Genomic DNA, 13,199 nt, shown 5'->3' with positions numbered 1-13,199 from the left:
TACTAATTGTTACAAAATTGTTACGTTTGAGTCAGATCTGTTTCCTTTTGTTTCCTTTATTTCTGTTTCTAACTTCTGGGACCCGACTGGGAATAAGGTTGATCTTCTTCTGTAAAACAGCTGAATTTTTTATATTCAACATACATTTTATAATCAGAAAAATAATATATACTATTTCTTAAAAATTAGTTTTGGGGCTGATGACAAACATATTTATAAGTCACATATTTATTTCTGAAGGTTTTAAGTGAGTAAACCTGGACTTTAAAAAATGTTGGGCCATGTGTGGTGGCTCATGCCTGTAATCCTAACACTTGGGGAGGGTGAGGAGGGAGGATTGCATTAATCCAGGAGTTTGAGACCAGCCTGGGCAACACAGTGTGACACCTTGTCTCTACAAAAAACTAAATAATCAGCTGGGAGTGGTGGTGCATGCCTGTAGCCCCCGCTATTAAGGAAGCTGGGATGGGAGGATTGATTGAGCCCGTGAGGTTGAGGCTACAGTGAGCTGTGATCGTGCCACTGCACTCTAGTCTGAGCGACACAGAGAGACCCTATTTCCAAAAAAGAGAGAAAAAATAAAAAATTTCAAAATATATTAGCTGATCGTAATTTTTCATGTAGTTATTCAAAGCAAGGCTTTGCTGAAAACAAAACTATTCAGATACTTAGAAGGGAAAGAGAGACTGTTGTACCACATGTACCTATAAATCATTTATAGAGAAGAGATTATTTACCTCATTGTTCAGGTCATAGGGTACAGTTACAGATCTCCTTTTTTCAAACATGTACCCAAAGGGTTGTAAATGAATGAATTAGTTTTCCATTGAAATAATATTCTGTGGTGCTTTGGGATCCCAACCAGCCTAGGAAAACCTGCTAAGTCAATAAAGTACCCAAAAGCTGAGCCTTCACTTAACAATAAAAAGTAGAGAATGTGGCAAAAAATAGTAAACAGAAAAATTAAGTTGAACCAGAAATAGTGGGATAATGTGATCACTAATCAAACATTGGTGCTTGAGGCTGAAAAATTTTCTAGAAGACTCCTTTCTCTTGGCAGCCTGCCTTTGCAAGTCTGCTCCATCAGTTGTGCCTTTTCTCTTCTTCAGTGCTAAGTTTCCCAGGAATGGGAGTGGGGAGGAGCAGGAATTAGCTGCAGTGCTGAAGGATAATGAAAGGTACCTTGGGAAGGTCTACCATCTCTGCCTGCATGGACTGTGTAGGGAAGTGAGGAGGCTCATTGACAAGGAACCTCTAGTCAATGCTGGGAAATGGGATTCTGACTAGGAAATAGAAAGGTTTCTTGTCCCATACATGCATCACCCACCTCCCACCCCAACCTTTCTACTGTTTTCCACAACACTCATCGTACTTTACAGCCTTCCAAAGGCCAAAGGTGTTATTATACCATGTAATAATAGATTATTTTATAAGTCCCATCTGTAGTATTGTTTATAAGTCATTTTATTTTAGAGAGTCCCCATACTTTTGAGGCTGTTTTGAATTTGTTTTGGAACAGAGGGGGAAAATGTGCCATATTAGCCCTTGCAAACCATGAAAATAAAGATCTCAAAGTTCATATAATTTCACAAGCCAGTTTTTAATCACCGCTTCTATGATGATATCAAATTCTACTTATTAACACCTGTCCTGTACAGAGATTGCTGAGTGAATTCAATCCTGTCTTCTGGTAGCCATTATTTATCATCTTTTTTCTTTCTCTGCCATTTACTTTGAGCTATAAATGAGAGCCCTGGAATTTGAGTCATTTGTCAATATTGTCTTCATAAAAAGGATCTGAGAAAAAAATAATACTGTTTATTCATACTTGTTTATTAGAACTGCTTTTTAAGGTCAATTTTTAAAAAGAAACCTTCCCTAGAAGCCAATTTTTACCATTTAGAGAATATTCTTTAGAAAGAAACCTTTAGAATGCTGGAAGTATCCTGTTGGTGAACCATGTAACTCATAACTGTGTTGAAAATAATAATCTTAATTTCTTCCTCTTTGCTCGATACATAATTACACTACTTTTGATTAAGATTATAAAGATGACTTTTACTCAGAACTTTTAAGCACAAAGTAAAATCCATTAAATCACTGTCTTAAGCAAATTAATAAGGAGCAAATTATTTGTGAGAATATATAATAGTTTAAGGACACTAGTAGGTTTACCTTGAACTAAGATACTCAGCTACGAACTTCTATGAAAAATCACTTTAGCAAGTATAGATCTTTTTCAACTAAGTTAAATTGTAATGTATTTTCTCTTTAATCCCCCACCCCTATTTTTATTAATTCAAGATTCACAATCGCTATGAAGGCAAGGATGTTTCAAAGCACAAACGGAATTTGGCCATAGCAGGTGGTGTAACGTTGTCTGTAATCGTGTCTCCAGTAGTAGCTGCAGTGACTGTAGGTAAGAAAATGCTGAAAAGTACTAATTACCTACAATTTTATGGAGTTAAAGTTTTGTGGAAGGATTTTTTTTAATTGTTTTTTAATTTGAGGACAATTTAAATTGAGCCTGCAGTAAGTCTTGGTTGAAAGTATTACAGATTCAAGAGCCTAGCCTTAAAGTAGTTGGTAAATTGTTAGTGGCTGATACCCTTCCTCCCCACTCCACCCCAAGTACAGTTCGGAGGCCTGGCACTTCAAAAGAAAAAAGTTTGCATCTCTCTCTTTTTCCCCTTATGTGCATTACCTGAAAGGCTGGGAACCTTGAATTTGCTTAACAACTGGGTAAATCTACTTTTGGCAAATGTTCCAGCCAACTCTTCAGAACCCTGGCGCTTTTCTCTGTATGACTCTCTTGAAAAGACTTTCTAAAACTCATGTTTCTGTGAGTTATTTTGTTGTTGTTGTTTGTAATGACTGATTTAATTTCTCTTTAGGTATCGGTGTTCCTATTATGTTAGCTTATGTCTATGGCGTAGTTCCAATTTCTCTTTGTCGAAGCGGAGGTTGTGGAGTCTCAGCAGGCAATGGAAAAGGAGTTAGGATTGAATTTGATGATGAAAATGATATAAATGTTGGTGGAACTAACACAGCTGTAGGTAAGTCCTTTAAGCAAAGGAAGAAAATGTGCTTATTAACAGTGTAAGTAGTGGGGAGGCCAGAGATAACATGCAACTCAGAATTTCCATTGCCATCCTTTTACTAGGCCTAATAGTATTCATTCAGAAGTACATAAGTGAATAAACTGCCAAGGAGGAGTGTATGGATGAAAGAGGTGGGGGTAATTCTGGGTATCTGACCTCTAATTGGAATATAATGTCTTAGAAATCATAAACTTTTCATCTTAAATTTTGCCTGAAACATTATAAATAACTAAGTAAAGGATATGAAGAGGAATACAGTTAATAAAAGAAATACGGATGACCAATAATACAAAAATATCTTCAACTCAATGTTATTCAAAGAAATGTGAATTAGAACAGTAACGAGCAAAGATTAAGAAGAATAAAAAAGCCTTCATAGACTGCCTATAGGAGTATGTCAATAAACCTTTTTTAAAAAGTGCATGTTCTATATTCTAGCAATTCTTGTTTTAGAAATTTGTCATAGGGAAATAATTAGGCAGATGTGTAAAGATAATGCCTACTTTCTTACCTCTTATTTTCTCTTGAACTGGCCTCAATCAGATTTTTGTCCCTACCACTCCAGAATTTTATTTCTGCTATTCACTGAAGCAGAGTCACCAGTGGCCTCCACGTAACCTAATACAGTGGTCAGGTCTTGGTCCTCATCTTAACAGTATATCCGACATGGTAGAGACTCTACCCTTCTTGAAATACTTCACTTTTCTTATGGGAAACCACTTCTTACCATATTTCCTGGCCAGTCCGTCTCATTAATCTTTGCTGGTTCATTTTCCTCTTCTGACCTCTAAATGTTTGTTCCCCAGAGCTCAGTTCTCAGAATTCTTATGTATCTACACTTTTCCCCTAATCTCATCTATTAAATAATGCATAGACCGACCTCTCCCCTGAACTTCAAACTTGCATGTGTAACTTTCCTCTTTAATCTGCACTTGAGTGTCTAACAAGAATTTCAAGCTTAACTTGTCTACAGCCAAATTCTTGGCTCTAAAATCTCTTCTTCCCTTCATCCTCCTTAACTCAATAAGTAGCTTCTCCATTCCTCCTGTTGCTTGGGCCAAAAACCTTCACTTAACAATGCCTCCCTCTTTTCCCTCTTGTCCTACATCTGATTGATCTGTCAGCAAATTCTGCTGCTTCCTTCAATATTTAGCCATAATCCAGCCACTTCTTACTCTCTTCGTTGTCCTTCCCTTAGTCCAAGCTACCATCCTCTTTCCTGGGCTATTGTAATAGCCTCTTAACTGCTGTATCAACTTCTCAGCTTCTATTCACTAGTCCATAGTGCAGCCATAGTCACATGTCTAAACCCTGTCAGATTATAACTTTCTTATGCTCAAAACTTCCCCAGTGGCTTCTAACTGTACTGGGGAAGAAAATCCAAAGTCCTTATCATAGCCCAAAAGGCCCCACATGATCTGCCCCAACTATGTCTCTGAGCTCATCTCTTGTCACCCTCTTATTTTATACCACTCTTGCTTGATTTTTGAGGGTGCCAAGCATTATCCTACTTCTAGGCTTTTAAACTGGCAGTTCTCTGTCTGGAATACTCTTTCCCTAGAAAATTTCATGACTCACTGTTTTACTTCATTTGTCTCTACAAGTATTACCTTATCAAAGAGGCCTTCTGTCATCACATCATATAAAATGGCTCACAGACATGTACGTACATGCACTTTTCATCACTCTCCTCCCCTTTACTCTCTTGTATTTTTCCTCATAGCATTTGTCACCGTGTGATTGGGTATATAATAGGAACTCAAATATTGGTGCAAATAAGTGACTCCTTAATACAAAATGTGTGAGAGGTACTGTAAAATTGGAACATAGTGTTATCAGATCTTAATAATAGCTTGTAGACAGAACTGTGGCATATATCTAGAAATCAACTTTTAGCCTATTCTTACTGACCTAGAGAATAATAAGCTCTTTAAATGACACCCTTAATGAAAACTGTCACATAATTTTCCTCTAAAGTCAGCGATATTTTTTAACAATCATATTCTTTATAGAATTCCTAAATCTGGGTTTTTGAAAAAAGAAACTAGTGACCATTTAAAATTGTTGGCTCTATTCCCACTGCTTCTAGTGGACTAGCCTGAAAAAAATATTTTTCCATGTCTGCGTATATTTTATACCTTATATAATGTCCTCTCTGAAATCATGGAGGAATTTAAGAAGGAGAAAATTGATAATCATACTTACTTAGTTTCTTTGGAATATTTGCATTTAGACACAACATCAGTAGCAGAAGCAAGACACAACCCAAGCATAGGGGAGGGAAGTGTTGGTGGGCTGACTGGCAGTTTGAGTGCAAGTGGAAGCCACATGGATCGAATAGGAGCCATCCGAGACAACCTGAGTGAAACGGCCAGCACCATGGCACTAGCTGGAGCCAGTATAACGGGGAGTCTGTCAGGAAGTGCCATGGTAAACTGTTTTAACAGGTGTGTGTTTTGGTTTGGTTTGGTTCTGCTTTCTGGTAACTACAAATTATTAATTAGGTGAGAATTTTGAACATAAAGCATGATGATTATATATAACCCTACTATGTCAAGGTTCAAAATAGTAATGTTAAAAATGAAATTTGGGGCCAGGTGCAGTGGCTCACGCCTGTAATCCCAGCATGTTGGGAAGCCAAAGCAGGTGGATTGCCTGAGCTCAGGAGTTCGAGACCAGCCTGGGCAACATGGCGAAACCCCATCTCTACTAAAAAAATATAAAAAATTAGCCGGATTTGGTGGCATGCACCTGTAGTCCCAGCTGGTCGGGAGGCTGAGGTAGGAGGATCACTTGAGCCTGGGAGTTGGAGGCTGCAGTCAGCCAAGATCACACCACTGAGCTCCAACCTGAGTGACAGTGAGACCCTGTCTCAAAAAAAAAAAGAAAAATTTGGTGGTAGATTTCTAAGTCTAAGGAATAACATTCTGCCAATTTTTTCACTGTCCTTGTCACATTTTATATTATAAATCGTTGCTACAGCTGCTTCAGTAGACATTGAAGCAAAGGCAGTACTTAAGCCTAGATCTTACCTCTGTGGGTAACAACAGCCAGATATTAGGAGATGGGACTTTGGCTGAGTCCTGGGAAACAGGTGGAGTCAGGACATCCAGGAATGTGTGAACTGGGACCGGGATAATCGGCTAGGGTCCTTTTATGTATTAATGCTTGCTTACTTTGTTCTCACCAAGTCTTTTATCAATAGCCATATAGATAAGTAGGAAAAATTATCTTCCCCTGTTTCTCTTTAATTCACTATTTTTCACTTAGGCTTATTAGCCTTGCTTTTTTTAAGTGTAGGGGAGAATACATGAATTAAAAGATAAATTAGACATCTTATTTTTAGGTAGTTTGCCTTTTAAATACAAACTCTTAAGTTATAGTGGTATATACTACCTCTTTTTAAAAAGGCAAATGTTGGTTGGGCTCAGTGGCTCATACCTATAATCCCAGCACTTTGGGAGGCCAGGTTGGGAGGATAGCTTGAGGCCAGGAATTTGAGACCAGCCTGGGCAACATAACGAGACCCTGTCTCTAAAAATATATATAAATAAATAAAGTATTAAAAGGCAGGTGTTATTTATAGAGTCATTTTTTAATATAGATGCCCAGGATTTTTGGATTCATTGGTGTGTCATGTTTAATGATTAATAATGTATTCTAACTTTGTGTTTTGCATTGAAACATTACAAAGTGCCATATGCTGAGTGAGAATAATGGAGTACATTTAAGTGAAAATCCTTTGTGTCTTTTTTGTGTTATTTCATTACCACTTTACTTGGCAGACAGCTGATGTTCCCCATTTTATTTGGATGGCTGGTACTATGCAGTGTGCTGCAGTAGAATTTAAATTAAATAAAAGGAAATAAAAAATAATGGTTCCTAAAATAGCTTCTGGTTACTAGGGTTCTTAACTGAATTATTTAAAGATACATATTACAGTAGTGCTGATATTAAATATAATTTTGGTGATTTCATACCCCCCTTTAAGGTTGGAAGTACAAGCAGATGTACAGAAAGAACGGTACAGTCTAAGTGGAGAATCTGGCACAGTCAGCTTGGGAACAGTTAGTGATAATGCCAGCACCAAAGCAATGGCAGGATCCATTCTGAATTCCTACATCCCATTGGACAAGTAAGGAAAAAACTGTTAAAAAATTGAAAGTATTTTTTAAATTAAAGGAATAATTCCTATCATTAGACAAATTACCAGTGAAAAGTGGCTACCAACTATTAAGTTCTCTGAGAAAAGGAAACAGTGAGCTGTCCAGAGTAGGCAAATCTGTATAGATCATAAAGTGGATTTGTGGTTGTCAAGGGCTGGGAAAGGGAAGAATGGTAACTAACTGCTAATGGATGCAAGATCCCTTTTTGGGATCATGAAAATGTTCTGAAGTTAGGTAGTGGTGATGGTTGCACAGCTCTGATCACAACTAAAAATCACTGAATTGTACACTTTAAACAGGGGAATTGTATCTGAATAAAGCTGTTCTTTAAAAAAAGGTAGCATAGTGTCTAGAACAGCATAAGCAATAAATGTGTCCACCACTATTTTAAAACATTGAAGCATTATAAAGAGTTCTGTTATATCAAGTATGTTTTTTAAGTAGAACGTGTTCTGCGTTAAGGTGTTCTCATAGCTTATATATAGTCTGAATTTTCCACATAGAAACCCTTCCCCCAGTCATCTGAACAAAAAGAAGTCAGCAATTATGTTTGTATTTGTTACTCTTATATTTCAGAGAAGGCAACAGTATGGAGGTGCAAGTAGATATTGAGTCAAAGCCATCCAAATTCAGGCACAACAGTGGAAGCAGTAGTGTGGATGATGGCAGTGCCACCCGAAGTCATGCTGGCGGTTCATCCAGTGGCTTGCCTGAAGGTAAATCTAGTGCCACCAAGTGGTCCAAAGAAGCAACAGCAGGGAAAAAATCAAAAAGTGGTAAACTGAGGAAAAAGGGTAACATGAAGATAAATGAGACGAGAGAGGACATGGATGCACAGTTGTTAGAACAACAAAGCACGAACTCAAGTGAATTTGAGGCTCCATCCCTCAGTGACAGTATGCCTTCTGTAGCAGATTCTCACTCTAGTCATTTTTCTGAATTTAGTTGTTCTGACCTAGAAAGCATGAAAACTTCTTGTAGTCATGGTTCCAGTGATTATCACACCCGCTTTGCTACTGTTAACATTCTTCCTGAGGTAGAAAATGACCGTCTGGAAAATTCCCCACATCAGTGTAGCATTTCTGTGGTTACCCAAACTGCTTCCTGTTCAGAAGTTTCACAGTTGAATCATATTGCTGAAGAACATGGTAACAATGGAATAAAACCTAATGTTGATTTATATTTTGGCGATGCACTAAAAGAAACAAATAACAACCACTCACATCAGACAATGGAATTAAAAGTTGCAATTCAGACTGAAATTTAGGCCCATAAATGCTGCAGAATAATTACCACTGTACAACCGTGTTTGGAGCTGGTTGAACTACATGTGACTACTTAAGTTTCAGGTTACCAGCAAAAGCCGGGTTTCATTATCATAATGCAGATACATTTTCTGTGTTCAGCAAGGCATTGTGTGTCATGTGGATCTTAGTTACCAAACTATGAAGTGAAGGCTTTAAAAGTGCATTATTTTAAGGATAATAAATTTGAAGAGCAAAGCATGTTTTGTGTGTTTGCCACAAAACATTGCTTGAAGCACATACTTAGATAGAAATTGGTCTTAATTTATATAATCAATATAAAATACTAATGCAATTCTACAGCATTCAAATGAAGAAAACTTGAGGCTTTAGGGATAAGTGGTTAGTGATATTTTATTGAAACCACTAAAGAGATAAGTTTAAAAGAACTGCATAGGTTACTCTCAGTATATGATACTCTGTAACATTTCTATTTATATCGGCATAAATTTCATTTTTTTTCTTCATATGCAATGTGGTTATATAAAGCTTAATGCAGCTCATTTGCTACCATTTGGATACTTAGACACTTTGAGCAAGATTGTGGCAGTTTTTGCACAACTTTGAAATAGAAATACCTGGTACTCTATCTTGTTTATTGTTGATGCCATCTTAGAGGAAAAAATGTAAAGGTAAGTAATTAAGCATATGACAGCAACAAATAAGATACATAAAACTACAAAATAAAGTCCCATTAGGTTATAAGTATTACAAAAAATCCACCTTTCTCTAAGGGGAAGTTTGTACCCCATTGATTCTTGGTGCCTTTGGGATCGACTGGGTTTTAATGGCCTAGTTATTTGAGGATTTTGCTGTGTTGTTTTCCATGTCTTCTCTGGTCACCTTGGATTATATATAAAAATACAGGAAATAGATAAACATGAATGTGATTAATAATGCTGAAAAAGTATTAGCCTACCAAAGACACACTCAGGCTTTAGTGAATAACTTTACATAACCTCAGTTTTTAACACATGCATATCTTCTCCAACCATGAAATCAAAGCACGGTGCAGAACTTGTACCAAGTACAAAAGGTCCATGTATGATTAGCATTATTTTCTTTTGCTTTTGTTTATGGACAATGTTCAGCTGACATAAGCAGAAGTTGGCCAAAATACTGCCTGTACTGTTAATTTCCTGTATAATTCACTTAAATAAAAGCAGGTTAACCTCAATGATAGCAGTTAAAATGTTCTATCTTATGTATTTCTTTTAAGTATTACCATTATGGTGCTACTGAGCGTTTTCTTTTGGTAAAAAGAAAAATGCCATGGGCTGCAGTCTTCTTCCATCACTTTTCCCTACCAGGTCCATTAATATGCTTATAACACTAGTGCCAGTTATTTTATTTGATAATGCTTATGGTATTTGTATATTTGTTTGCATTCCAATTTTGTTTAATAATGAGTGTGTAAACTGCATACGTTAAATAAATGTAAATACTAATGTACTGCTGCCTTCTGGTGTGTACACAAGTGTTTTTTTTTAATAAGAATGAGAATATTCATTGGCCATGTGGTAGTATTCATAAATATTGCAAGCCATTGTGATTATTCTGCCTTCTGGTCTCAGCTCAAGGGGAAGCATTTGCTGAACTTTTCAACAGTGTTAGAAACTACCCTTTTTTCCTGTCTAATTCCTGCCTTTCCACCAGAAAAAAAGATACTGTATACATCAACATAATTTTTTTGAGTAAATTGGTTGAATTTAACTTGAGTAAATATATGTATCATTAAATTGTGAAGAGAAATCAGTATTATAAATCCTCAGAAAAGTGGAAAGATCAGCTAACTTGGGAAAAGGGGAAAAAAGTAAAAAGATCTTAAAAGACTATTTTAAGAGATTCTATTCTAGCAACATTAGATTATGAAATGAGCCATTTAAATTCAAGCTAATTGTAATCAGATGCTTTCTATTCTTGTAGCTTCTGTAAAATGCATAGATGGTTTTTCTGTTTCCCTGGTATATAGTTAATGCTTCATGAAAATAATCTTTTTTTTTTTTTGAGATGGAGTCTCACTTTGTAGCCCAAGCCTCGAGTGCAGTGGTGCGATCTCAGCTCACTGCAACCTCCGCCTCCTGGGCTCAAGCAGTTCTCGTGCCTCAGCCTCCCAAGTAGCTGGGATTACAGGCAAACATCACCACGCCCGGCTAATTTTTTTGTGTGTTTTAGTAGAGACGAGGTTTCGCCATGTTGCCCAGGGTGGTCACAAACTCCTGAGCTCAAGTGATCCACCCACCTCGGCCTCCCAAAGTCCTGGGATTACTGGCGTGAACCACCATGCTCGGCCAAAATAATCTTATGAATATGTTGACTGCCTTGTTGACATTTCTTTAAAAGGCTAAAGATGAAATGGAAAGCTAAATGATCTTCAGAGGAATACAGCAAAAATAGTGCCCTATAGGAGGCTGGTGCATTCATTCACCCTACACCTACTTCTGGTGATACTCCCAACCAGTACCACTTCAGTCTCACCTTAAAACTAGCTTCAAAAATTCCTTGTCTCCTGGACCTTTCAACTAGCTTCAGAAATTCCTTGTCTCCTGTATCCTTCAAAGTTGGATTAATTTAGGACCAAGCCAGTTTTCCCTGGAACTCAACTCTGGGCTAGCCTTGAACAAGAGATACCTCCAGGGTATTCAAAATAAACCTTAACTCACTGAAATCTTGTTAAAACTCTTTGTACTTTAAAGCCTGTTGGAAAAATCATCTGGTAATGAGAGAAAAGAAATACAAAGATTATAATAGTATATCCTACTGTTGATTATGTAGACCACCAATTTAACTGGTAGATTCACTTCATTGTACAAATTCCCAGCTTCAGAGCACTTAATTAGTTAGCTTTTTATATTAAATGCACATAATCCACCACTCCTAACTTATTTTTCCTGGAAATTGTGTTAATTTGTAAACATGTAAGACTTTCCCTAGCCTGTTATTTAGGTAAACATATAGACAAATCACCAAAGGATAAAGTATGTGTTGAAAACTATCGGAGCTATTAATTGCTACATGACATGAGCAAAAGAAACTCCTGCTCCATAGATTGTTTTGCCTTTCCATTCACAGTCATCACGCTTCTTACAGATTCTAGTCTGTACTTGGATCTAAGGAAAAAAATTCTTTTCTCAAGGCTGCATTTCATATGGTTCCTTTTAATGGATTTGTTGTTTCATTTATTTCCTTCACTAGAGCATGAGATATCATTGCTTAACAGCCAGTGTTTACATACTGGTTGATTTTTGAATGCCAAAAATAGTATTCTAAACTTGGGGAGAGTTATGTTATTTAGGGTGGCTATTATTTAATAGCTGGATATGAAAAAGTTTGCAGTTTTAAAATTTAGTTCAGATTGGATCACTGTACATCATATGCTAGTCAGAATTTTTGTGACTTCTACCAATTTATTCGTTCAACAAAGTAGATGCTGGAAATACAGCATAGTACCAAATAAACAAACACCCTGGCTTCAGAGGGCTTGTATTAGAATTTGGAGGATACAAAAATAATAAACATATGCATGTAGCTTAAAATAATGGAACGAGATGTAAAATAACCAGATGATGATTGCTATGAAAAATTAGAGGTGGGCACAATAAGAGTGACTGGGATTTTGGGGAAGCAGTACTGTTTTATACAGGGCAGAACAGGAAAAGTCTCTAGAAGACATTTGTCCCAAGATCTAAAGGAAATGAAGGAACCATGTAAAAACATACCTGGTGAATGAGCATTTTCAGAAACATCTCCAAGGTGAGTTAGTGGACAATTTAGACATCAGTCTTGGAATCTGAATTTGCTATCTAATAGGGCAAGTCTGCCACTGTTTTTTCCTTGGATGGTGTCTTGACTGTCCTTGGCACTTTATATTTCCATAAACATATTAGAATAACCTTGTTGTGTTTCACTAATTTTGATTGGGATTACATTGAATCTATAATTATCCCCATAGAATTCTTTTACATCTTTTGTTAAATTTCATTCCCAGGTACTTGATATTTTTTATCCTATAATGTATATTTTTAAAATGTCATTTTCTTTCTTTCTTTTTGAGAAAGAGTTTCATTCTTGTTGCCCAGACTGGAGTGCAGTGGTGCGATCTCAGCTCACTGCAACCTCTGCCTCCTGGGTTCAAGTGTTTCTCCTGCCTCAGCCTCCTGAGTAGCTGGGATTACAGGTGTCCCACCACCACGCCCAGCTAATTTCTTGTATTTTTAGTAGAGAAGGGGTTTCGTTATGTTAGCCAGGCTGGTCTCAAACTCCTGACCTCCAGTGATCCACCTGCTTCGGCCTCCCAAAGTGCTGGGATTACAGGCATAAGTCACCACGCCCAGCCTCATTTTCTGTTTGTAACTAATAGTATAGAGAAATGCCATTGATTTTGTATTAACAATTTTGTATCTGGTGAATCTTACTCTTTTAATTCCAATGGTTTATCTCCAGATTCTTTGGGATATCACTGTACAATTATCACTTGTGAATGTTTGTATTAAACACTTTTACAGTGCTTTGAAGTGTGAAATACTTTCCGAGCACTTTTAAAATAGTAACTTATGGAAAAGCAAACAATAAAAGAAAAATATAACTTATCAAGTTTACTTATATAACAAACCTGCACATGTACCCCT

The 13,199-nt window shown here is 36.9% G+C and overlaps 1 protein-coding gene across 17 annotated transcripts in view, besides 2 other annotated features; it reads left to right on the top strand.

Moving 5' to 3' along the window:
• RNF19A (ring finger protein 19A, RBR E3 ubiquitin protein ligase) overlaps positions 1-10,023 on the top strand; it is a 79,138-nt gene extending 69,115 nt beyond the window's left edge. For 15 of the 17 annotated variants that reach the window (NM_001280539.2, XM_047421671.1, XM_047421673.1 and 12 more), the window contains 5 exons: positions 2,305-2,419; positions 2,895-3,056; positions 5,335-5,548; positions 7,093-7,236; positions 7,844-10,023. In NM_001280539.2, the coding sequence (NP_001267468.1) occupies positions 2,305-2,419; positions 2,895-3,056; positions 5,335-5,548; positions 7,093-7,236; positions 7,844-8,534 (1,326 nt within the window). In that variant the 3' untranslated portion in view covers positions 8,535-10,023. Of the gene's footprint in view, positions 1-2,304; positions 2,420-2,894; positions 3,057-5,334; positions 5,549-7,092; positions 7,237-7,843 lie in introns of those variants that run through there. The other 2 variants (XM_047421675.1, XM_047421676.1) reach the window with 2 other exon arrangements.
• Positions 7,919-7,968: an enhancer, noted in NCBI's record as "active region_27688". NCBI's record gives its function as "activates an Ori minimal core promoter by ATAC-STARR-seq in GM12878 lymphoblastoid cells {active_cell/tissue: GM12878}" and the evidence as "EXISTENCE:reporter gene assay evidence [ECO:0000049][PMID:35858748]".
• Positions 8,359-8,458: an enhancer, noted in NCBI's record as "active region_27687". NCBI's record gives its function as "activates an Ori minimal core promoter by ATAC-STARR-seq in GM12878 lymphoblastoid cells {active_cell/tissue: GM12878}" and the evidence as "EXISTENCE:reporter gene assay evidence [ECO:0000049][PMID:35858748]".
• Positions 10,024-13,199: the final 3,176 nt, after the last annotated feature.

The sequence above is a fragment of the Homo sapiens genome, chromosome 8 (assembly GCF_000001405.40).
Source record: "Homo sapiens chromosome 8, GRCh38.p14 Primary Assembly".
NCBI classification, from domain to species: Eukaryota; Metazoa; Chordata; class Mammalia; order Primates; family Hominidae; genus Homo; species Homo sapiens.
This window is presented reverse-complemented; position numbering and strand designations above follow the sequence as displayed.